The 27,226-nt window shown below is 36.8% G+C and overlaps 1 protein-coding gene across 6 annotated transcripts in view, besides 1 other annotated feature; it reads right to left on the bottom strand.

Annotated features, from left to right (window-relative positions):
- Positions 1-1,264: 1,264 nt before the first annotated feature.
- Positions 1,265-27,226, bottom strand: part of ZNF215 (zinc finger protein 215) — a 67,998-nt gene continuing 42,036 nt past the window's right edge. For 4 of the 6 annotated variants that reach the window (NR_149005.2, XM_047427572.1, XM_047427571.1 and 1 more), the window contains one exon: positions 6,758-7,472. Coding sequence is in view for 4 of the 6 variants with exons in the window: in XM_047427572.1 (XP_047283528.1) it covers positions 7,459-7,472 (14 nt within the window). In the remaining 2 variants the exon portion in view is untranslated. Of the gene's footprint in view, positions 4,615-6,757; positions 7,473-11,057; positions 11,560-27,226 lie in introns of those variants that run through there. The other 2 variants (XR_002957191.2, NM_001354854.1) reach the window with 2 other exon arrangements.
- Positions 4,096-4,390: a silencer, noted in NCBI's record as "tiled region #9308; HepG2 Repressive non-DNase unmatched - State 21:Repr, and K562 Repressive non-DNase unmatched - State 7:EnhWF". NCBI's record gives its function as "represses a minimal TATA promoter and a strong SV40 promoter by Sharpr-MPRA in HepG2 and K562 cells {active_cell/tissue: HepG2 | K562}" and the evidence as "EXISTENCE:reporter gene assay evidence [ECO:0000049][PMID:27701403]".

The raw sequence follows: 27,226 nt of genomic DNA, 5'->3' as shown, positions 1-27,226 counted from the left end.
AAGAACTGACAAAGTAGAGGCTAGAGCCAAAGCAGGGATTCCAATTAGGAGGTATTGCAGTTACCCCTAAAAGAGATAAGGTGTTAACATAGTGTTAACAGTGGAGGTGACAGAAATAATCAAATATTGGATATATTTTGACCATGATGAATATATCAGAAATTAATTTTAAAACTGGACTTTATTTAGTATTTTAATAGGTAAAAAGGAGGCCAAAATCCTTTACTACTTTACAGACAGGAAGAATTGCTTGTAAAATCTTACAGTTGAACACAGTGTTTTAGGGACTGTGAAATCAGTCTGTCTAGATTAATGTTTCAAGATTAATTAAAACATTAACCTCAAATATCAATGTTGAGATTTAAGCTACTCTTAAGGGACTAGAGGGTTTTGTTTTTTCATTTGGATAATATAAAGTTCAAGTCGTGCCATGGGAATAGTCATGCCCAACTTTGGGGAGTCAGGGTAGGCTTTCCAAAGAGAGAGGTTCTCATCTTAGTCCAGAATAAATTGCAATAACCTGAGGGGGTGGACAAGGAGGAGTTAAAAGTGTTTCAAGCAAAGTGAGAAAAATGCAGTTTTAGGAATAAATATAGCCTATTGGTTAAGAGCAAGGCTTCCTGAGCTGAGATCAGTTTTTGGGAAGACAAGGTATATTTCTACCTAATGTCAACAAACATAATCATTGGCTCAGTGTGAACTGGGAGTAATACAGACTCTCATCAGCAATTCTGGTGAGAAAAGTATCAGAGTCAGGCAGATCCTGTCAGAAATTCCTATCAAATTGAATGATTAAATCCTAATATCTATTGAATATTAATATGGGGTATGCAGAGGCTGAAAAACTATGACCCAGTCAAAAAGGCAATGCTATGGTGTGTTTCTGTTTCTGTCTAATCAGGCCCTAAAATTTGGAATACAGACCACAATCACTGCACCCATAAGATATCCTTCACTGAACATTAAAATTAATTGTCAGATGAATTAGAACTCTAACATTCTTCAAAATAGTTTCCTGGTGAACAGTGACAGCACAGTGGCTGAAGGATCCAAAAGGCTCACTGGGGTTTTACCCAGAATCTGTCCTTTACTGATGTTATGGGATTGGGATAATCTTTTGACCTCTCTGAGCTTAAGCAGCTTCAGCTATAAAATAAAATGTCGAAATAAGATGAGTCCTAAGGCTACTGCCCAAACAAATTGATCTTTTCTCTAGAATAGTGCCTATTCACATAATAAAGTATTAATTTTCACAGCACACTGATTCTCAGTCTTAGAAGTTTAATGTCATTAAAATTTCACAACTGCTTTGAGAAAGGTCCCACAAGGCACATTCTATAGTCAAGAGAAATTGTGGCATAGAAAAGTTCATGATTCACCAGAGGGTAAGATTCCTATGAGCTTCTTATCACAACATTTTTGTCAACGGATCAATACATAATTTGCCTTTAATATGCGATATTAGTATTAAATGGTATTAATATATAATATATAAAATATATATAAAATAACATTTACTATATTGATTTGTTAATACTGAACTCACAAGACAACAGCACTATAATGCCTGAAGGAAGCTTCTCTTTCACATGTATTTTTTCCTAAGGTACATCACAGCCCTCTTGTACTTAGGAACACTAGACAGCACCTTAGCACTATACTTGGGACCATTTTAAACAGCAAAAATCAACAAAAAGCACAAAAATGCTAAAACAGCACTAAATATATTGTGAAAGGATGCTTTTTATGGTAGAAGAGCTAAAACAAGAAGGTATGGCATTGCTTTGTTCAACCTCAGCTGGTCACATGCACCTTGGGCAACTTGAAATTTGCTCTGCTCTGCACATGTGTACAAATGACTGGGGAAAGTGCTACAAGTATTGATTTGGGTTACAAATAAATTGTAGTGAGTAGGTGAATTTACAAATATGAAATCCATTAGTAATGAGGTTAAACTGTATATAAAATCTAGGCAAGCCAATCAAACATAAAGGCATAAGAAAGAACAAAAAATAGGATAAGGAAGAAAATGTAATCATAGAACACTGCTTATCTCTGTTTGGACAATATGGCATAGTCATAAAAATGTGATCACTGAAAATAAATTAACAAAAAATTGATAGAAACTATGTTAGTAGGATCATGGAAGGGTAAGTGAGAGGGGGTATAAAAACACCAAATTTCCATCTCCCATAATAGAAAAAAAGCAGAAGGAAGTACCTAAAATTGTCAATCTTACTGCATAAGCATAGTGCAGTATTTAGAAATAGGTAGGTAGATACAAAAAGAATCAGCTCAAAGTGATTTCTCTGAGGATCAGAGGCTAAAATGAAGTAGGAAATAGTGTTGCCAGAAAAAGAGGTCCCAATCCAGACCTTAAGAGAGAACTCTTGGGTCTAAGCAGGAAGGAATTCAAGGCGAGTTGCAGAGTACAGTGAGAAGAGAGTTTATTGAAAGCTACCCAGATACAGAGTAGGGTGTCCTCAGAAACGAAATGGAGGAATGTGCCTTCTTTGTTTTAAACTGTTCTTGTATAGGAGTCTTATCTATGTAAAAACTATTACGTCTATGTGGGGGTAGGCTGACAGCGTGACAAAATTTAGTACTTTGTTTTTAAAAAGTTTTCTGTGGCATTTTAGTGCATAAGTACATCAAAGCATGACTATATCGTAAAAGTATACATTGTTATGTGATACCGGGACATCTGGACATTCTGCCATCATAGGAGTTTATCCTTGCAAGCATTACTAAACTGCTTCCTTAGCCAAAAACATGTTATGACTGTGCATTGTGACTGGCCAGGAATGTGCCTTGCTGGTTTTACGATGGAGTTGATTTAAAAATAGTATTACCGTAGCTCTCCTATGCTCCTGTTTACTTAACAATAATGTGACTAGCCAGAATCTTAACCTGGGTCAGATGTCCCAGAATGAAAGCATACATAGCTGGATGACTCGTTCAGACCTCAGAGCTGGTACATGTTAGAAATGTGTTCATTGTAGAAGCTGAAAGAAAAGTCCCAATGGTTGATTCTATGGGCCCCTTGGTGAGGAACAGCTTTCTCACAGCATGTGACATAATTCTGTGGCACAGCACGATCTGTCAGTCCTGTCCTCGAAATCTAATACAGCTGAGTATTTTTCCCTCTGAGGACAATTTACACATTTTATTTATACTTTACTGTTAGTGTAAAAAGGTTGATTTAAGACAAAGTTGATATCCTGTCATATTATTCATAGCATGTTTATCCTATTGATGGTTGCGGAAGCAGCACAGATTCTTTGGCCATTATTAGCAGTCTTCACTCTTGAAATACAACTTTGACAATATATTAATTATGCCACTTTGCTAACACTGATGTTTTGGTTACCTATTGCCATTTTACCTAACAACAACCATTTTATTTGCTCACAATTGTGAAATCTGGGCTAGGCTGAGCTGAGCTGCTTGGTTCTGCTCGTCTTGCCAGTGTGCATTCCTGTGATTGCATTAAGGAACAAGCTGGGCTGTGCTTTTTCTCTCTCCATGTAGTTTCAGGACTTCTCCCTCTTCACATAGTTTCTACATGGCATTTCCAGCAGAATTCCTGGATTCTTCCTGAGTTGCTCAGGGATCCTAAGAGCTCAAGAGTAGAAACTTCCAGCCCTTCATGAAATTTCAGTGCAAACTATCACTTCTGCCATATTCTATTAAGGAAGAAGAGTGACAGGACCACCCTAGATTCACAGGAAGGGGACTACACAACGTTATGAACACCAAGAGGCGGTTCACGGGGAGATGCCAGTAGAGCCAGTGGTGTTCTGACAAATTGACAGGTAACTAGTTGTAGTAATAATAAGCTTGCTCTGGCTAACCAGTCAATGTAAGAGATTATATTGGAAATTAAAAGTGGTATTAAAATATTACCAAATGAGGAGTTATGATTAATCATACAGAAAGTCGGGCAAAGTAGAATTTGGACACAAAATCATGAAAATATGAGCCATGCAATGAAAATATGAGAACTCTAGAAGTGTAGAAGTCATAAAGATTCTAAAGCATTGTTTAGTTTACTTACAAATGTTGAACTGAGATGAGATACTGACAGCACAAAGAGAAAAGGAAGGCTTAGCCTGAGCTCTTAAGGAGGAAGTAAAAAAGCAGTTGCGGGTGTGTAGGGGTGACTTGGAGTTTGGTGGCAGTAAGTGCAGGAGGCCTGAGGGGGCTCTAGGGTAGGGCCCTCATCCACTGTGGTGGGCGGGGGAGCACTGGAGTACCAGCCCCGACGGTGTGTGCTGCCACAGCCCCAGCCCTGCCGCAGGCAGTGTCTTAGGGAAACCAGAGGCAGGGAGGGTGTCCAGACCTTGGGCCTGTACACTGGCTGGTGCTGGACATCCTGGAGGGAAGCAGGGAGGCTAGGGGAAAGTGGAATCACAGATAACAAGGAGCCATCCATTCTGACCATGAAGAAACGCAGGCAAAGAAATAGTAAGCGGTTGTCCAGAACTCTACCATGATTATTACAAGGTTTGTGACCTGAGACTCTTTGCCCTTTCCCACAGTCCAGGCAGCTTGTCCAGGATTAAAGTCAGGGTGTTGATGAAAACACTTTTCTCACATGATGAGGCTGGAAAGCTTTGAAAAGGAGGATATAATTTTGGTATGTGATATCAAGTGTGATGCTAACTTGATTTCCTGCCTATGCCTACATATTTTGCCAATTTCCATAATGCCTTCTCCAGTCACTGGTTTGTGATTCTTTTTCATAAACAAGCTCTTATAATTGTTGCTTGATTCTCATTTTTCCTGGTCTGTTGAATTTTTGCAGGAGTGCCACACTAATTTAAATGACTTTGGTTTTATAATGTGAATATATACCTGGTAGGGACAAATATATTCTCATCACCCTTCTTTTTCAAAGTCCCCTTTGTGTGTGTGCGCACATGTGCGCGTGTGTGTGTGTGTTTTGGGGATCTGGAATTGACAAATTAGAATTAGGTAATATCCACCTAATATATATAAAGACAACAGAAAGACATTCTTAAGAATTTTTGAAAGATAGTATTCCATTGTATAATGAACATTAATTTTCCTTTAAAACATAGATAATACATTAATGTGGCTGTAAATACAAAAGATACAGAGGTTGTAAGGTGTAAGTCTCCCTCTCACTTCTCTCACCTATCCAGTACCTATCTCTGGAGGCAGCCATTTTTTTCTGGTGTCTAATGAATTCTTTCAAAGCATTTTTAATACATGCACAAGCAAATAGATATGCATATCCTTTTTGGTTTTTAAAAATAAAAATAGTAGCATATTCCATACACAGCTCTGTGTATAATACTTTAACAGATGAGGTTTTTCAACATTTTTTTGTGACTTTGCCACTGGAAAGATTTCCCTTCACCATTGTTAAGGCTATCCTTGAGTGGGGCTGAGGTACAGCAGCAGTATGATTTTGGCTCCAACATACTGCTACGAAGAAATCCATGGGCTTGCTGCCTGATACACATGGAGACCAATACTTTGGCACAAGCTTTCAAAAATAGAAAAAGCTTAATTACAAGTTGACTTGCAAGGAGACAGGAGGAAAGGTTCAAATCTGTCTCCCTGAGCTAGGGGCAGGGTTGGGTTTTATAAGCATAGGGCAATGAAGCATGATCTGATTGGATCTTGCAATAAGGTAGTGCTGGGAGGCATTATCTGATTGCATCCTGCCATGTAGGTGATGCCAGAGCTCAATTTGATTTGATCCTGGGTTATGACATGCAGTGTCTGCTTCTTAATTCAGTTTCTGCTGCTAGGTCTGAGCATTAGGTTCTCCCTATGGTTGCAGGCTTGGTTTATCTGGGCATACTCAGGTTACATGACCTGAGGGTCCATGGGAATTGAAAAATAACTCACAACCTTGTTACATAAAAATTGAACCAGATTTGTCTGGTGGTTGCAATATTGAGCCAACTCTTCTGTGACCCAGGCCTGTGTTTTCACTTCCTCTGTCAGCTGGTCACAGGAAGCTACTTGTAGGGCCATGGATACAAGTTTAGGAAGAGCCAAGAGTGCAGCAGAGCTAGGGAACATGGGAGTCTGGGCCACCTATTCATGAAATTTTAGCCCTCTGAATCAATCTCAAACATACCATTTCCCTCCTATGATGGACTGCTATAGTACCTATCCAATTTTATAACTTGGTTGATCTGACAATACTCAGTTCATGGGTGGGTGTGGCTATCTAGTCATTTGATGTTCCAGGTAGGTGTTCAGTGTCCACTAGGGCCTAGTAGTATATCAGAAGCTTCTTTTCAAAGGGTGACTAGTTATCTTCTCCAGAAATAATGTCCTTGCTCCAGAACCCATGTCTACTTCTTTTATAGGAAGGCATAAACGTGGCTAGAAAGAAGTAGGTTTGGGAAAGTGGGATGTTTGATCAGACTGCTGATGTTTTTTCCCAGCAATTTTATTCGCTTGGTGCAAAAGTTTTTACCATTACTTTTATTGTAAAAAGTGCAATTACTTTTGCACCAACATAATACCTTTTTTTTTTTTTTTTTTTTTTTTGAGACGGATCTCTGTCACCCAGGCTGGAGTGCATTGGCACGATCTGGGCTCACTGCAACCTCTGCCTCCCAGCTTCAAGCAATTCTCCTGCCTTAGCCTCCGAGTAGTTGGGATTACAGGCACCCACCACCATGCCTGGCTAATTTTTGTATTTTTAATAGAGATGGGGTTTCACCATGTTGGCCAGGCTGGTCTCAAATTCCTGACCTTGTGTTCTGCCTGCCTCGGCCTCCCAAAGTGCTGGGATTACAGGCATGAGCCACCACACCCTAGATTCTTAAGAGGATTATAGGATCACATAGCTCAGGTAAAGTTCAAAATTATCAAGGTATTATATTTATTTGGTTATTTTGAGTGTTTTGTAGTGAAAACATCTTTAGCATATCTCATATTCCATTTTACCACAAACCCCAGGAAGCCTAATGATTTTGTGTTTGAGTCATCTCTAGTTCAGCTCTGATGGGGAGGCTGAAGAACAAACACAGGCCAATTTAATTCTATCTTGTTTGCTTTCTCTGGGATTCAGTGTGATAGGACACCTAAGTCTTGCCCTCAACAAGTTCACTTTTGAGGGTACAGAGATGGTTGTTGCTAGCATTTTGGAGGAAGGCATTGTATGTCACTTCTGCATATAAGAGCTGGTTTCCCCTCTTGGTGCCTGGATAGAAAGCTGCACAAAAAGGCTTTATTATATGCTGTTCTAAATTAGGAGTTTAGGAGATAATAAAGGGAAAATCAGTTACATTAAAGCCTAGTAAAGGAGGCTGATCACAGAGCCCTTTTCTGATGTTCATCCTACTCTAATCCAGACACAAATGAGAGTGGCTTACTTTACCAAGATGTGATTGATTTCTTTGGTCAGGCTGAGTCTGCCATCCCCATCTTCTCCTGCAGTGCTTAGTGCCCCTCATTCTGCTTCCTTCAGTGTGTTCTCCCTATCGATGTGAGGAAGAAGGTATAAGTCATGGGTATAATTCTCTACAAGGTAATTGAACAGATTATGCATTGGTTATGATTATGAATTGCTGTTGCTCCAAATTTTTACTTAACATTTAATCTGACAGGTCACACTACTTCAACATGGTTCTTCCTTACATAGGACACAGGGATTCAGTCTCCTACAGAATGTTCTTAGATATAGTTGATAAGTGAGGTTTTAAAAGTGATTAATCTGGAGCTGTAAGGCAAGCTCTGATTATAATTACTTTTCTTTCTTTTTTTGTTCCAGTTTTCCACTTTCCTAAGAAGAAGAAATGGCCAAATCCCAGGTAAGTCCTTCCTCCCTCCATGCTGAAATGCCATGTAATTTGTCAGAGGTGGGGTTAGTGGGGTGCAATTTGAAAGAAGACATACTGTGATATGTCAAGATTTATAGCAGAAGAACAACTGACTGGTTACTAGAGACTACAATGGATGTTATTACTTTGGTGAGTGCTTTATCATCTACCTGCATCTTTGCATTTTCAGAAACTTGACTGTGACTAGTTTCTCTGAGTTAATAAGCTGCAGGGCAACTGGCTCATTCTAAACAAATTCTTGAAAAGATAACAAAAGATAGATATACATACCAGATGCCTATGTGTGGATTTCTTTTTCTTTCTTTTGCTTTTTTCTTTTTTCAACTTTTATCTTACAGTCGGGGATACATGTGCAAGTTTGTTACAAATGTATGTTACATGATACTGAAGTTTGGAGCACAAATTAATGTGTCATCCAGTTAGTGAGTATAGTACCCAAAGGTAGTTTATTTCAGCTCTTCCCCACTGCTTTCCTCCCACCTCTTGTATTCCCCAGTGTCTATTTTTCCCATTTTTATGATCATGTGTACCCAATGTTTAGCTCCGTGGTATAAATGAGAACCAGTGGTATTTGGTTTTCTGTTTCTGTGTTATTTTGCTTAGGTAATGGTTTCCGGCTGTATCATGTTGCTGCGAAAGACATAATATCATTCGTTTTTATGGCTTCATAGTATTCCTTGGAATATATGTACCACATTTTCTTTACGCAATCCACCATTGATGGTCACCATGTCTTTGCTATTGTGAATAGTTCTGCAATGAACATATGGGTGCATGTGTCGTTTTGATAAAATGATTTATTTTCTTTTGTGTATGTACCCAGAAGTCATTGCTGGGTCAAATGGTAGTTCAACCCTCAGTTATTTGAGAAATCTCCAAACTGCTCTCCACGGTTGGCTGAACTAGTTTACATCCCCAAAAACAATGTATAAGTATTCCCTTTTCTCTGCAGGGAAACAGAGAAACAGATGCTGCCTCACCAACATCTGTTTTTGTTTTTGTTTTTGTTTTTGACTTTTTAACAAAAGTCATTTTGCCTGGTGTGAGATGGTATCCCATTGGGGTTTTGATTTGCATTTTTCTGTTAGTGATGATGAGCATTTTTTCATATATTTGTTGACTGCTTGTATATCTTCTTTTGAAAAGTGTCTGTTCATGTCCTTTGCTCATTTTTAATGGGGTTTTTGTTTGTTGATTTAAGTTCCTTGTAGATTCTGGATATTAGACGTTTGTTGGATGCATAGTTTACAAATACTTTCTACCATTCTCTAGGTTGTCTGTTTACTCCTTTGATGATCTCTTTTGCTGTGCAGAAGCTCTTTAATTAGGTTCCACTTGTCAGTTTTTGGTTTGTTGCAAGAGGACTTAGCCATAAATTATTTCCCAAGGCCAATATCAAGAAGGGTGTTTCCTAGGTTTTCATCTAGGATTTTTGTAGTTTGAGGCTTTATATTTCAGTCTTTAATACATCTTGAGTTAGTTTTGGTTTATGGTGTTAGGTAGGGATCTAGTTTCATTTTTTTGCATATGACTAGCCAGTTATCCCAGCATCATTTATTGAATAGGGAGTTTTTTCACCATTGCTTATTGTTGTTGATTTTGTCAAAGATAAGATGGTTGTGGGCATGTGGCTTTATTTCTGGATTCTCTATTCTGTTGTATTGGTCTATGTGTCTGTTTTTATACCAGAATCATGCTATTTTGGTTACTGTAGCATTGTAGTATATAGTTTGAAGTTGGGTAATGTGATGCCTCTGGCTTTGTTCTTTTTTACTTAGGATTGCTTTGGATATTCGAGATCTTTTTTGGTTCCATTAATTTCAGAATAGTTTTTTCTAATTCTGTGAAAAATTATGTTGATAGTTTAATAGGAATAGTGTTGAATTGTGAATTGCTTTGGGCAGTATGGCCATTTAAATAATATTGATTCTTCCAATACATGAGCATGGGACCTTTTTTCTTTTTGTGTCATCTTTGATTTAACAGTGTTTTGTAATTCTCCTTGTAGAGATTCTTCACCTCCTTGGCTCTCTGTATTCTTAGGTATTTTATTCTTTTTGAGGCTACTGTAAATAGGATTGCATTCTTGATTTGGCTCTCAGCTTAAATGTTATTGGTATATAGAAATGCTACTGATTTCTGTACATTGATTTTGTATCCTGAAACTTTCCTGAAATTGTTTATAAGCTCTAGGAGCATTTTTGCAGAGTCTTTAGTGTTTTCTAAGTATAGAATCATATCATCAGTGAAGATAAATAGCTTGACTTCTTTTCCTATTTGGATGCATTTCTTTCTCTTACCTGATTGTTTCAGCTAGGACTTCCACTACTAAGGTGAATAGGAGTGGTGAGCGTGGCCATCTTTGTCTTGTTCTAGTTTTCATGGGGAATGGTTCTAGATTTTGCCTGTTTAGTACAATGTTGGCTGTGGGTTTGTCATAGATGGCTCTAATTATTTTGAGGTATGCTCCTTAGGTGTCTATTGTGTTGGGGCTTTTTATCATGAAGGGACATTGGACGTTATCAAAAGCTTTTTATGTAAATATTGAGATTAGTTTTTTTCCTTTTAATTATGTTTTTGTGATGAATCACATTTATTGACTTGCATTTGTTGAATCAATCTTGCATTCCAGGAATAAAGCCTACTTCATCATCGTGAATTATCTTTTTGGTGTGCTGCTGGATTTGGTTTGTTAGTATTTTGTTGAGAATTGGTGTGTCTATGTTCATCAGGGACATTGGTCTGAAGTTTTCTTTTCTCATTGTGTCTTTGCCAGTTTTGGTCTCAGGGTGATGCTGCCTTTAGAGAATGAGTTATAGAGGAGCCCCCCTCCTCAATTTTTTGGAATGGTTTCAGTAGGATTGATACTATGTCTTCTTTGTATATCTGGTGGAATTCGGCTGTGAATCCATCGTGACCAGTGCAGTTTTTTGGTTGGTAGGGTTTTTATTACTGATTCAATTTTGGAACCTATTACTGGTCTGTTCTCTTTTTAACTATTTTTTATTTCTATAAGAGAAATGTAAAAGATTGTGAAAACCCAATTTAATCTTACTATCTGGATAAAATGGCTTCTAAAAAGTTAGTTTATGTAATTTTCCCCTCTTTGTGCAGGTAGCAACATACCAATTTATATCTTAGTTTTCAAACTATGGAATCATACCATATACAATAAATTTCACCTCCCTTTTTTCTCATAAAAGTAAATCATGGGCAGATTGTCAGTAAATTTAGGTTTATCACATATTTCAGTATATGCACAATATGACTTAGTCTTTTACTGATAAATATTTGACCTAATTCCATATTATTACAACCAACGCTGTGACAAGTATCTTCATGCATACATTTTCGTGTGCATTTGTGAATTTTCTTTGTAAAAATAAGTTTCTAGAAACAGAATAGCTAAATGAGGTGATATACACATTTCAAATGTTAAGGGACAGCTGGGCGTGGTGGCTCACGCCTGTCATCCCAGCACTTTAGGAGGCTGAGGTGGGCGGATCACTTGAGGTCAGGAGTTCAAGACCAGCCTGGCCAACATGGTGAAACCCCATTTCTACTAGAAACACAAAAAATTAGCTAGGCATGGTGGTGGGTGCCTCTAATCCCAGCTACTCAGGAGGCTGAGGCAGGAGAATCACTTGAACCCAGAGGTGGAGGTTGCAGTGAGCCGAGACTGCATCATTATACTCCAGCCTGGGCAACAAGAGGGAAACTCCATCTGAAAAAAAAAAAAATTTAAGGGACATTGTCAAATTATCTTCCTGAAATATTTTACCACTTCATACCCCCAAAGATAGCGTTTGAGAGTATGTTAATTTTTATATCCTTTACCAATACTGAGTACTATCATGTTTTAGGCGTTTAGTCTCATAAGAGAAAAAATACTGTATTGGTGTTAAACTTTATAATTCTTTAAATATTAGATAAGCCTATCACCTTTATATGGATTTATCATTCATTTGGACTTTTCCTGTAGAATTTTGGATTATATTCTTTGCCAGATTTCTACTTGATGCTTTGTCTTTTCCTTGTTTTTATCAGCTTTTTATGTTAGAGATATTAGCACTTCCTTTGCCATATGTAATGAAACTATTTCTCCCAGTTTATTTTTGGTTTTATTCGTATTTTCTAATATATACAAACTTTAACAAGTTTAAAACAATGTCTCTGAGTTTGCTATTTCCACTTCATAATATTTTTAACAAGATATATCTATGTTCTAGTTTTTAAAAATTATTTTAGTTCTCATATTTAAAACTTTGATACATTTGGAATTTATATTCTTATAAAAAGTAAACTTTTTGATGTGCTGCTGGATTCGGTTTGCCAGTATTTTATTGAGGATTTTTGCATCAATGTTCATCAAGGATATTGGTTCAAAATTCTCTTTTTTGCTTGTGTCTCTGCCAGGCTTTGGTATCAAGATGATGCTGGCCTCATAAAATGAGTTAGGGAGGATTCCCTCTTTTTCTGTTGATTGGAATAGTTTCAGAAGGAATGGTACCAGTTCCTCCTTGTACCTCTGGTAGAATTCAGCTGTGAATCCATCTGGTCCTGGACTCTTTTTGGTTGGTAAGCTATTGATTATTGCCACAATTTCAGAGCCTGTTATTGGTCTATTCAGAGAGTCAACTTCTTCCTGATTTAGTCTTGGGAGGGTGTATGTGTCGAGGAGTTTATCCATTTCTTCTAGATTTTCTAGTTTATTTGCGTGGAGGTGTTTGTAGTATTCTCTGATGGTAGTTTGTATTTCTGTGGAATCGGTGGTGATATCCCCTTTATCATTTTTTATTGCATCTATTTGATTCTTCTCTCTTTTCTTCTTTATTAGTCTTGCTAGTGGTCTATCAATTTTGTTGATCCTTTCAAAAAACCAGCTCCTGGATTCACTAATTTTTTGAAGGGTTTTTTGTGTCTCTATTTCCTTCAGTTCTGCTCTGATTTTAGTTATTTCTTGCCTTCTGCTAGCTTTTGAATGTGTTTGTTCTTGCTTTTCTAGTTCTTTTAATTGTGATGTTAGGGTGTCAATTTTGGATCTTTCCTGCTTTCTCTTGTGGGCATTTAGTGCTATAAGTTTCCCTCTACACACTGCTTTGAATGTGTCCCAGAGATTCTGGTATGTTGTGTCTTTGTTCTCGTTGGTTTCAAAGAACATCTTTATTTCTGCCTTCATTTCGTTATGTACCCAGTAGTCATTCAGGAGCAAGTTGTTCAGTTTCCATGTAGTTGAGTGGTTTTGAGTGAGTTTCTTAATCCTGAGTTCTAGTTTGATTGCATTGTGGTCTGAGAGACAGTTTGTTATAATTTCTGATCTTTTAGATTTGCTGAGGAGAGCTTTACTTCCAAGTATGTGGTCAATTTTGGAATAGGTGTGGTGTGGTGCTGAAAAAAATGTACATTCTGTTGATTTGGGGTGGAGAGTTCTGTAGATGTCTATTAGGTCTGCTTGGTGCAGAGCTGAGTTCAATTCCTGGGTATCCTTGTTAACTTTCTGTCTCGTTGATCTGTCTAATGTTGATAGTGGGGTGTTAAAGTCTCCCATTATTATTGTGTGGGAGTCTAAGTCTCTTTGTAGGTCACTCAGGACTTGCTTTATGAATCTGGGTGCTCCTGTATTGGGTGCATATATCATGAAAATGGCCATACTGCCCCGGGTAATTTATAGACTCAATGCCATCCCCATCAAGCTACCAATGACTTTCTTCACAGAATTGGAAAAAACTACTTTAAAGTTCATATGGAACCAAAAAAGAGCCCACATCGCCAAGTCAATCCTAAGCCAAAAGAACAAAGCTGGAGGCATCATGCTACCTGACTTCAAACTATACTACAAGGCTACAATAACCAAAACAGCATGGTACTGGTACCAAACCAGAGATATCGATCAATGGAACACAACAGAGCCCCCAGAAATAATGCCGCATATCTACAACTATCTGATCTTTGACAAACCTGAGAAAAACAAGCAATAGGGAAAGGATTCCCCATTTAATAAATGGTGCTGGGAAAACTGGCTAGCCATATGTAGAAAGCTGAAACTGGATCCCTTCCTTACACCTTATACAAAAATTAATTCAAGATGGATTAAAGACTTAAACGTTAGACCTAAAACCATAAAAACCCTGAAGAAAACCTAGGCATTACCATTCAAGACATAGGCATGGGCAAGGACTTCATGTCTAAAACACCAAAAGCAATGGCAACAAAAGCCAAAGTTGACAAATGGGATCTAATTAAACTAAAGAGCTTCTGCACAGCAAAAGAAACTACCATCAGAGTGAACAGGCAACCTACAAAATGGGAGAAAATTTTCACAACCTACTCATCTGACAAAAGGCTGATATCCAGAATCTAAAATGAACTCAAACAAATTTACAAGAAGAAACAAACAACCCCATCAAAAAGTGGGCGAAGGATATGAACAGACACTTCTCAAAAGAAGACATTCATGCAGCCAAAAAACACATGAAAAAATGCTCACCATCACTGGCCATCAGAGAAATGCAAATCAAAACCACAATGAGATACCATCTCACACCAGTTAGAATGGCAATCATTAAAAAGTCAGGAAACAACAGGTGCTGGAGAGGATGTGGAGAAATAGGAACACTTTTACACTGTTGGTGGGACTGTAAACTAGTTCAACCATTGTGGAAGTCAGTGTGGTGATTCCTCAGGGATCTAGAACTAGAAATACCATTTGACCCAGCCATCCCATTACTGGGTATATACCCAAAGGACTATAAATCATGCTGCTATAAAGACACATGCACATGTATGTTTATTGTGGCACTATTCACAACAGCAAAGACTTGGAACCAACCCAAATGTCCAACAATGATAGACTGGATTAAGAAAATGTGGCACATATACACCATGGAATACTATGCAGCCATAAGAAATGATGAGTTCATGTCCTTTGTAGGGACATGGATGAAATTGGAAATCATCATTTTCAGTAAACTATCACAAGAACAAAAAACCAAACACTGCATATTCTCACTCATAGGTGGGAAATGAACAATGAGAACACATGGACACAGGAAGGGGAACATCACACTCTGGGGACTGTTGTGGGGTGGGGGGAGGGGGGAGGGATAGCTTTAGGAGATATACCTAATGCTAAATGACGAGTTAATGGGTGCAGCACACCAGCATGGCACATGTATACATATGTAACTAACCTGCACAATGTGCACATGTACCCTAAAACTTAAAGTATAATAATAATAATAATAAAAAGTAAACTAAGATCAGTTTAATTTCATTTTTCAAATGACTGGCTGATTTTTATTACTTAATACTCAAGAACAAAAAGGAAAACTGCAACTATTTGTACACTTAGTTTATTAAACTGTTTAATAATTCAAACATTGAAAACGGATTTTTCTAGAGCACTGACTTATTAAAACTTTGAAGTATTTTAAACGATTGCAACTGAATTTAGTATTGTAGACTTTTGAATCACTTCCAAACCATTAAATATCAAACTGATATTTATGATTACAGAACATTGCTATAGTTACATCTAAACCTGTTCTAAAATGACATATGTTTAATTCATTTATTATTTTAATTTTTATATAATTTTTGTAGCAAAATAAGCTGTATTTTTAATTTTTATTGGAGTTTTAGTATTATTTTGATTTCTTCCAATGACTGCAGTAATTTTAACAAACACAAAAGGCATACATACATAGCTTCTGGGATTTGTTAACTGATTGATTGTTGACAAAGGAACTTAATGCTTCTTCCAAAATAATATGATCCTGAACCACCGATCATTGGGCTGAACCTCATTTTTAGCGTTTAAATTTTGTTGTGTGTTGCACGCATGTGCATGTGTACTTGTTGCTTTTTAATGTTAACAATTGACAATTTTCTAGGTTATGTTTCAGGAAGTTGGTTGAAAAACAAAATAAAATAAATAAGCTTTTAAAAAATATTTTACATCTGTAAGTCTATCACGTTTATAGCTGTCACGTAGGTTTTATTTTCTTGCCCCCATCCCCAGTCCTCTCAGCAATATATTTTAAAATTATTTTCTTAGTCAATACTTTATAAGTCATTACGTCATTTTGACTTAGTCTGTTAATAACATTTAAAAGCAACAAAAATTTTTATTAGTATTTTATTATAATTAATAGAACTACCTGTTAGGAGATGAAGAATCAATTCGGCCAAGTTACTTCTCCTCCTTAGGACATTTAAACATGCTACTTAACCTCCTTCTTCTACTTGGATGTTATGTGGAAATCACAGCACTGATTACTCATTACTGTTCCTAAAATAGTTCCTCCTTTTAATTGGACTATTTGGCTTATTCACAGTATTTGTCTTTCCTGCTTACACAGACAGAAAGAGCAAGTACTTATAAACAGATATAAGTAACAGAAAAAACGCAGTGTCCATATAGAGAAACTTTTCTTTTAAATGCTTAAAAATCAAGTTATTATAAATCTATGGTTTTTCACAGACTCAGCTTGTTCTAATATACCACAATCATTATTATTATTACTGTGTTATTCAATAAGCAAATTGTAAAATTTGCTAGCAGAAGTCCCTCTAGATTTATTCCTTTATCCTTTCAACATTGTCCCTGATATTCTTGGAAACCGTATTGCTACTATGTCACTCAGAGTACAGTATCATAGAGTTGGACAAAGAAAGGTGGACTGGGGGTGAGAGACAATAAATTGGTAATTGGCACATATATCCCTATGTTGTACTGATCCAAAATTTGTATTCCATTACATGGCAAGGTGTGCTTGTTCCTTTTGGTGGATAAGAGCTTTAAAACAGCATAAAATTTAGGCAATGGGGGACACGGTAATTTTATTATAATAGTGAGCAGAAGTGCTGCTGTTAGGCAGCAACTCTATCTTAGCAGTGATAGAGCTGGAAAACATACTTCAATTTTATGAGTTTACATTTCTCATTTTTGTTCATCTTATAATTCAACTAATTCCAATTAATGTTTTAAAATTAAGTATATAGGTGGATTATATTAACCACATTTCCAACATTTTATTATGAACATTTTCAAGCATAAAGTTGAAAGAATATTACAGTGAATACATTTTTTTTTTTGGTAGAGATGGAGCCTTGCTATGTTGCCCAGGCTAGTCTTGAACTCCTGACTTCAAGTGGTCCTCCTGCATCAGCTTCCCAAAGCACTGGAATAACAGCTGTGAGCCACTACACCTGTCCTTCTATTCACCTTCTACCATATTGGATATATCATACCTGTCCATCTACTTTTCTGTCATCCATCAATCCATATTTTTCAATCATTTCAAGTGAAACTAGAGACATCAGTATGCTGTCTCCTACATATCGCAGCACACATATTAATCAGAGTTCAGTATTTGTTTTCAACTCGGCTCCTAAATGTATATTCACTGAGCTTTGTCAAATGCCCTTTTCTAATCAGTCGCCAACACCATCCACCAGAGGTAATCTCTGTTCTAAATGTTTCCCACCATAGATCAGTTTTGCCTGTTCAAGAACTTCATATAAATGAAACCATAGATTATTTTCTCTTCTAAGGCTTCATTCAATCAGTGTATTTTTCACATTTATTCATCCATGTTGCATGTATAGGGGCACATTCCTTTTTATTGCTGAGTGTTATTTTTATGAATATATCATTGTAAATTTATCCATTCTCCTACTGATGAACACTTGGGTTCACTAACTGAACACTGTTTTACCTACATTCGACATTTCATATCAATGGGAGATAACATTACTTTTGAATCAGTTTCTGAGTAGTAAATGCTTAGTAATGTTAGTTAGAAAAAAGAGGCATTACACTGATGGGATTGAAATTCACCAACAGAGTGAGCTATTGCCTTTTCCCGGATTTGAGTCTCTGATCTTTATAGTTTCCTTTTGCTGTGACTTAGATGTGTCCCTCAAAGTTCATGTTTTGGAAACTTAAAACTCAGTGCAACAGTGTTGAGTATATATATTTCAATTTTATGAGTGATTAGGTCATTAGGGCTCTGCCCTCATGAATGAGTTAATGTTATCTTGGGAGTGGGTTTGTTGTCACAAGAGTGTATTCATTATCACAAAATATCACAGACTGGATGGCATATACAACAGAAATTTATTTCCTCACAATTGTGGAAGCTAAAATTCCAAGATCCAGGTGTCAGCAGGTTTGGTTTTCTTCTGAGGCCTCCATCTGTCTTCACATGTTCCTTCTGTATTTGCATGCATACCTAGGTCTCTCTGTGGGTCCAAATCTCCTCTTCTTACAAGGATACCAGACAGATTGGATTATGGCCCACTCTAATAGTCTCATTTTAACTTAATCATCTCTTTAAAGGCCCTATCTCCAAATATAATAGTTTCTCCTTATCCACAGGGGATGCATTCCAACACCCCCAGTGGATACCTGAAACCTCGGATAGTACAGAGCCTTATATACATCTATATTTTAAAAAATCTAATAACCAAGGTAACTGCTAAGTGACTAACAGTCAGGTAGAGTATATAGTACAGATATGCTGGACAAAGGGATCATTCACATCCTGTGCTGGACTGGGTGGGACAGAGCAGGAGAGCAAAATTTCATCACACTACTCAGAATGGCTCACAATTTAAAACTTATGATTTCTGGAATTTTCCATTTAATATTTTCAGACTGTGGTTGGCCACACAGAAAGTGAAACCATGGAAAAGGGGGGACTACTGTGCAGTCACATTTGAGGTATTTGGAATTAGGACTTCAACACATGAATTTTGGAGGACACAATTCAGTCCCTATCAACTTCACACAGAAGAGAAGGCGATACAACCACAAAGACAGAGATTGAAGTGATGTAGCCACAAGCCCAGGAATGCCAGCTAGAGAAGGTGAAGAACAGATTCTCCCCAGACCTTCTAGAGACAGCACGATGCTGCCAACATCTTGACTTTTTGCTCATTGAAACTGATTTCAGACGTCTGATATCAGAACATAAAGATGAGTTGTTTTAAGCCATTAAGTTTGTGGTAATTTGCTATAGCAGCCACAGGAAACTTATAGAAGAAACAGAAAACATATACATGTGTATTTCTCTCCACAAACAAGATACTGATTTTTCAAGTCAATTGTAATCACTCAGCTAGAGCATGGGGAAGAGTGGTGACTAGTGGAGAATAAAATAATCTGTAAGTTACCTCTCCAGGTGAGAACCAAAAAGCATTTGCTAGTCAGAGAGGAAGCAATTTCTTCTTAAATGGAATTATTAAATAAAACAACAACAAAAACTCCTCCAAGTTTCCTTTGTCTGAGGACAAGACTAAAGTCAGTTAAGTTCCCTCAATACTGCAACATCATTTTCACATATTTTCTATATATTCATTAGCTGATACGATCTTCTGGACTCAATGTAGGCGCTTCTTCATCAATTAAACACTGCCAGTTCTCTGGATTTATTCTCAGGTAACCTCTACTGTGCCCTTATTTTCATCATAAGATATTATTTTTAGCATCCTTGGTCTCTGTGTCAACATTTCATATTTTAAGACATTAATTGGACTTTTTGGAAAATAAATCAATTTTATGATACTCAGGCCACTTTTACTGAGATTTGTTTTGTTTTTCCTTTTAAGAAATAATTCCTTTTAAGGAGCTCAAACAACTCTATAGGAAAAAATCTAATAATCCAGTCAAAAACTCGGCAAATGATTTGAATAAACATTTATCAGAAGATGACATACAAATGGCAAACAGGCACATGAAAAGGTGCTCAACATCATTGATCAGAGAAATGCAAATCAAAACTACAATGACATATCATTTCACCCCAGTTAAAACAGCTTATACCCAAAGGACAGGCATAGCATTTGGTGAGGATTTAGAGAAAAGGGAACCCTTGTATACTGTTGATGGGAATGTAAATTAGTACAGCCACTATGAAGAACAGTTTGGAGGTTTCTCAAAAAACTAAAAATAGAGCTATCATCTGATCCAGCAATCCTACTGTTGGATATGTATCCAAAAGAAGGAAATCAGTATATCAAAGAAATATCTGCACTTTCGTGCTTGTTGCAGCACTGTTCACAACAGCTAAGATTTGGAATCAGCCTAAGTGTCCATCAGCAGAGGAACGGATAAAGAAAATGTGGTACATATATACAATGGCGTAATATTCAGCCATAAAAAAGAATGAGATCCAGTCATTTGCAACAATGTGGATAGAACCGGAGATCTAAGACAGAAAGACGAACATCACATGTTCCCACTTATTTGTGGGACCTAAAGGTTAAAACAATTGAACTCACGGACGTAGAGAATAGAAGAATGGTTATCAGAGGCTGGAAAGGGTAGTTAGGGGCTGGGAGGCTGGTGGGGATGGTTAATGGGAACAAAAAAAAAATAGAATAATATGACCTACTATTGGATAGCACAATGGGACTGTAGTCAGTAATTGTACATTTAAAAATAACTAAGTGTGTAACTGGATCATAACAAAAAGGATAAATGCTTGAGGGGATGGATACCCTACTCTCCATGATGTGATTTTACATTGCATGCCTCTATCAAAATATCTCATGTACCCCATAAATATATACACCTACTATGTACCCACAAAAATTATCAAGTGGGCTTCATCCCTGGGAAGCAAGGCTGGTTCAACATATGCAAATCAATAAACGTAATCCAGCATATGAACAGAACCAAAGACAAAAAACCACATGATTATCTCAATAGATGCAGAAAAGGCCTTTGACAAAATTCAACAGCGCTTCATGCTAAAAACTCTCAATAAATTAGGTATTGATGGGATGTATCTCAAAATAATAAGAGCTATTTATGACAAACCCACAGCCAATAAAATACTGAATGGACAAAAACTTAAAGCATTCCCTTTGAAAACTGGCACAAGACAGGGATGCCCTCTCTCACCACTCCTATTCAACATAGTGTTGGAAGTTCCGGCCAGGGCAATCAGGCAGGAGAAAGAAATAAAGGGCATTCAATTAGGAAAAGAGGAAGTCAAATTGTCCCTGTTTGCAGATGACATGATTGTATATCTAGAAAACCCCATCGTCTCAGCCCAAAATCTCCTTAAGCTGATAAGCAACTTCAGCAAAGTCTCAGGATACAAAATCAATGTGCAAAAATCACAAGCATTCTTATACATCAATAACAGACAAACAGAGAGCCAAATCATGAGTGAACTCCCATTCACAATTGCTTCAAAGAGAATAAAATACCTAGGAATCCAACTTACAAGGGATGTGAAGGACCTCTTCAAGAACTACAAACCACTGCTCAATGAAATAAAAGAGGATACAAACAAATGGAAAAACATTCCATGCTCATGGATAGGAAGAATCAATATCATGAAAATGGCCATACTGCCCAAGGTAATTTATAGATTCAATGCCATCCCTATCAAGCTACCAATGACTTTCTTCCCAGAATTGGAAAAAACTACTTTAAAGTTCATATGGAACCAAAAAAGAGCCCACATGGCCAAGTCAATCCTAAGCCAAAAGAACAAAGCTGGAGGCATCACGCTACCTGACTTCAAACTATACTACAAGGCAACAGTAACCAAAACAGCATGGTACTGGTACCAAAACAGGGATATAGACCAATGGAACAGAACAGAGCCCTCAGAAATAATACCACACATCTACAACCATCTGATCTTTGACAAACCTGACAAAAACAAGAAATGGGGAAAGGATTCCCTATTTAAGAAATGGTGCTGGGAAAACTGGCTAGCCATATGTAGAAAGCTGAAACTGGATCCCTTCCTTACACCTTATACAAAAATTAATTCAAGATAGATTAAAGACTTAAATATTAGACCTAAAACCATAAAAACCCTAGAAGAAAACCTAGGCAGTACCATTCAGTACATAGAAATGGGCAAGGACTTCATGTCTAAAACACCAAAAGCAATAGCAACAAAAGCCAAAATTGACAAATGGGATCTAATTTAAACTAAAGAGCTTCTGCACAGCTAAAGAAACTACCATCAGAGTCAACAGGCAACCTACAGAATGGGAAAAAGTTTTTGTAATCTACTCATCTGACAAAGGGCTAATATCCAGAATCCACAAAGAACTCAAACAAGTTTACAAGGTTAAAACAACCCCATCAACAAGTGGGTGAAGGATATGAACAGACACTTCTCAAAAGAAGACATTTATGCAGCCAACAGACACAGGAAAAAATGCTCATCATCACTGGCCATCAGAGAAATGCAAATCAAAACCACAATGAGATACCATCTCACACCAGTTAGAATGGCGATCATTAAAAAGTCAGGAAACAACAGGTGCTGGACAGGTTGTGGAGAAATAGGAAGACTTTTACACTGGTGGTGGGACTGTAAACTAGTTCAACCATTGTGGAAGACAGTGTGGCAATTCCTCAGGGATCTAGAACTAGAAATACCATTTGACCCAGCCATCCCATTACTGGGTATATACCCAAAGGATTATAAATCATGCTGCTATAAAGACACATGCACACGTATGTTTATTGTGGCACTATTCACAATAGCAAAGACTTGGAACCAATCCAAATGCCCATCAATGATAGACTGGATTAAGAAAATGTGGCACATATACACCATGGAATACTATGCAGCCATAAAAAATGATGAGTTCATGTCCTTTGTAGGGACATGGATGAAGCTGGAAACCATCATTCTGAGCAAACTATTGCAAGGACAGAAAACCAAACACTGCATGTTCTCACTCATAGGTGGGAATTGAGCAATGAGAACACTTGGAGACAGGAAGGGGGACATCACACACCGGGGCCTGTTGTGGGGTGGGAGGGAAAGCATTATGAGATATACTTAATGTAAATGACGAGTTAATGGGTACAGCACACCAACATGGCACATGTATACACATGTAACAAACCTGCACGTTTTGCACATGTACCCTAGAACTTAAAGTATAATAAAAAAAATTAAAAAAATCCTTTCAATGCTAAGGGCTATTTTATGACATTGGAAATGCACAGTCTGAATTTCTCGACAGATCAGCTCTTTCTAGTCTCTTGAGCCCTACAATTATAGTTCACACTATTGTAATACTGTCTTGATAATCATTTTATAGGAAAATACAATGTAATTATTTCAGTTTCATCTCTGTCAAAATTTCTTTGGCATTTGCCAGGGAAGATTTCTGCTTTCCTTGAAATTCCACCTTCCATTGATTTATATAAGAGTTTTGGTATTTATGAAAGTAAAAGATCTTCCACTCTAATTTAAAATCCATTTATTAAAATCACTCGTGAATTTTACTTGCAAAAATCTCTTGCAAGGAGAAAAGCTTAAAGATACATTCCCAATTTAGTAGGAGAGTTTACAGTATTTGTAGTTATTCAATAGTTATTAAGTTAAATATAAAAAACAATCTGTGAATTTATAGGAAGTAAACTGCTACAATATTGGTTAAAAAAAAAAAAAAGTCTCCTAGGATAAACTTAGTCTAACGGGGGCTGATGAATTATGTGGGCCAAATTTGGCCTGTCACCTGTTTTTGTAAATAAAGTCTTATTTTAACAGTCATACCCATTCATTATGTATTGTTTATGGCTGCTTTTGTAAAAAATTGAGTAGTTTTGACAAAGAGTGACTATATAACCTATAAAGTCTAAAATATTTACTATCTCATTCTCCACAAAGAAAACAAAAGGTTACTGATGCCTGGTCTTTAATTTTAAATTTACAAATATAATTATCTCACTCAAACATTTAATGTAGTTTCCCAGATAATAGTAGGCAGTCTCAAGGTTCTAGATGAGTAGTCTTGGGAAGACAACTATTAAAACACATCTCTGAGTAGTACAGGGAAAAAAAATTTCCTTTAGTAAATAGACTTGGCAAAAACAACCTTACAGTGCCAATATGTAGTTTAAAAATGACTTTAATTTAAAATTTGTTAGCTATTCTGTAAGTACTCTATAACATTTTCCAGTTTATTCCTAAGAGACAATGGCTAACCCTGCTTTATGTACTCAAAAACACCTTTATCAATATTCTCTTCCCAGCTTGAGTTCTTGCTAAATGTTGTTTTAACTTTATGTCTATGGTTTCGATGATAAATTTTAACTAAGGCTGAATCAGAATGTGTGAACTTATAGTATCATTCCATATATTTCTTCCTAACAATTTTCTATGTCTCTAATTCCTATTTCTTGGCTTCTCCTCTTAAAGAAAAATCTAATAATTCTCACTTTTCTTCTCTACTCCTTTCTATGGATATGTACTCAAAGAACTCAAAGATTTTCATGTTTTAATCTATCCATTTTGTGTTTTCTCTATGATAGGCATTTATTAGTCAGCATTTATTGAGCATCTACTATCTTCCTGGCATTCTGATTGGTGATGGGATACAAAATAGTACAGAAAAATTTATTGCTGTCTTCAGGGAGATAGAGGAGAAGGCATTAACAAACTGCAATAAAAAGACTGTAATACAAGCTAGCCCAAAGAACTATGTAAATGCAAAGGAGCAACAACTCTGCCATGGAGGAAGAATAATCTCTCATAGAACGAGATATGATTAATTCACTGTTGACAGATGTGATGGAAAGGATTTAGATTATACTTACACATTTTTTAACATCTGCTATGTTCAGACACTGTGCTAGGCAATGAGGATTCAGGCAAGAATAAGAGACGATCCTTATTAGTTAAGGAGGCAGACTTCTCTAAGAAATACACTCAAATTTAATGATCCAAACTTAATCAAATTTGTTTTTTTTTTTTCATGTAACAGTCCAGGGCTAATATTTAAAGTTGGCTGAAGGGGTATTTCCTCCACATGACCCTTTAGGTTACTCTGGATGTCTGCACTCTGTCATCTGCAACACCTGGCTTTCAAGATTGCTCTGGTTATTGTTCTACCAATCACTTGCAAGGAAGAAGAGCATGATAAAGTTCCCCCACAGGGTTGTATGGGGCAGATCTGAAAGCTTCATTTATCATGTTTGGTGCACATTCCATTGTTTAGAACTATCACATGTATACATGTACCTGCAAGGAAGGATGTCTCGGAATATCTAGTTTTGTGCTCAGTAAGAAGCAGAGCATATGTTGTAGTAGGTATCTGCACACTGACACAGGTGAGATAGAGAGGGTAAGTTATTTTTAAAACTTTTCAGGATGGAAAATTTCAAAAATACACAAAAATACAGAGAACAGTATAATGAATGCCCACTTATTCATCACCAAGCTTCAAATAATGTCAATAATTTGTCATTCTTGTTTAAATTATCCCTTGTTTTTCTCTGTATTTTCAAGCAAATCCTAGGCATTACTTCGCCCGTAAACACTTTAGTGTGTACTGTTAATACACAAGGATTAAAAAATAACCAAAATACATTTTATCACCTAACAAAGTTAATAGCAGTAAATCCCAAATATTTTCTAACACTTAGTCCATGTTCAATTTTCCCCACTTGTTACAAGAATGTCTTTTCACAGATTTGTTCATATCAGGATCTAAAGAAGGGCAAAACATTGGACTTGGTTAATATGCCTCTTAAGTTGCTTGTCATCTATAACTTGTTCTCATGCATTTTGTTAAAGAAATTGGATCATTTTTTTCTGTACAAATTTTTACATTTTTATTTCACTGATTGCATTTTGTAGTGTTATCAGCATCTTGTATTATTCGTATTTCCATGTTTTTCTGCACTTGCAGACCTAGAAGCTTGAATAGATTGAGGTTTAATTGTTTTAACAAGAATATGTCATAGGGGGTGATATATATTTCAAAATACCAATGCTGGCCAGGCACAGTGGCTCACGCTTGTAATCCGAGCACTATGGGAGGCCCAGGCAGGCGGGTCACTTAAGGTCATGAGTTTGAGAACAGCCTGGCCAACATGGTGAAACCCCATCTCTACTAAAAATACAAAAAATTAGCCAGGCATGGTGGTGGGTGCCTGTAATCCCAGCTACCCAGGAGGCTGAGGCAGGAGAATTGCTTGTGCCCAGGAGGTGGAGACTGCAGTGAGCCAAGATTGCACCACTGAACTCCAGCCTGGGCAACAAAGCGAGAATCCGTCTCAAAAAATAAAAAATAACAGACTACCAATGCTAATATTAGTTATGAAAAGATGAGAGCCTTAGTATGTAGTTTAAAGCTCTTTGCAATTTTTTTTCTTAGGATATAATCCATCATGTTTAATAAGTATACTATATTTTAAATCTTGAGATAATTCTGTGCTTTTGCTACCAATATATAGTTGGGTTCATTTGTTTTAACTACATTTTTTTTTTAGCTATTTTCACTTTACTGATGCAATTATGTTTAATTAAACATTTATATGATTCCAAAGTCAAAATTTAAAATGGAGTACATTCAAGTTATTTGTACACATAGGTTGAAAATTTTCTTGTTTGCTTTTGGAAAAAAGTATTTTTTTTAGTAGAGCTTTTTTCTCTGTGGTGGCAATCATACCTCAGTAATCAGAGATTAAGATAATCAGGAAAAATGTGAGTTTTCTTAATTCCACAAGGAGTAGCTCAAATGTATATTTGGAGAAAATTTGATACAGGAAAGTAAACAGAAATTGCAATGGACTTAAAGTGACAATATGCTTGACATGTTCTTTCACAGCTTACAAGTTTATCCTTGGAAGCAAAGTCACTGTTACTGAGATTCTAATTGTCAATATGAGGGCTTTCTTTCTTTCTTAAAAGCATAAGGACATGGAATAAATTCACATTTTGGATTTCATTTAGAAATGGAAACCTGAATCAAATCCAGTGATTCAACACCAAAGTACCCAGTTTATTAGGAAGAATCAGCACATGGCATAATAATGGAAAGATATGGCCAGTGACTAATTCCCATGCAAAGAAATCATAGAATGTAATGAACAATCAGAGAGGCATTTGGAAAACCAGAAGCAGCTTGTTTTATTCAAGCCTTGTTTTATTAAAACATTTACCCAGGAAAAAGGGACATGAATTATAAGTAATTTAAATTTTTTTTTTTGAGATGGGGTCTCGCTCTGTTGCCCAGGCTGGAGTTCAATGGCATGCTCATGGCTCACTGCAGCCTCAACCTCCTGGGCTCAGGTGATCCTCCCACCTCAGCCTCCCTGGTAGCTGGGATTATGAGCATGTGACACCATGCCTGGCTAACTTTTGTGTTTTTTGTAAAGATGTGATTTTGCCCTTTAGCCCAGACTGGTTTTGAACTCCTGGGCTCAAGTGATCCACCCACCTTGGCTTCCCAAAGTGCTGGGATTACAGGTGTGAGCCACTGTGCCCAGGCTTAAATTTGATTTCAAACCTTGTTACATACCAGAGTGCCTGTTCAAAAAAAAAAAAAAGGCTCCATATATGTGAGCCACACAGAGAGCTTAAAGTGTAATTCAGAGCAATCAGGAGATGAAA

Source organism: Homo sapiens, chromosome 11 (assembly GCF_000001405.40).
Source record: "Homo sapiens chromosome 11, GRCh38.p14 Primary Assembly".
Taxonomy (NCBI): domain Eukaryota; kingdom Metazoa; phylum Chordata; class Mammalia; order Primates; family Hominidae; genus Homo; species Homo sapiens.
This window is presented reverse-complemented; position numbering and strand designations above follow the sequence as displayed.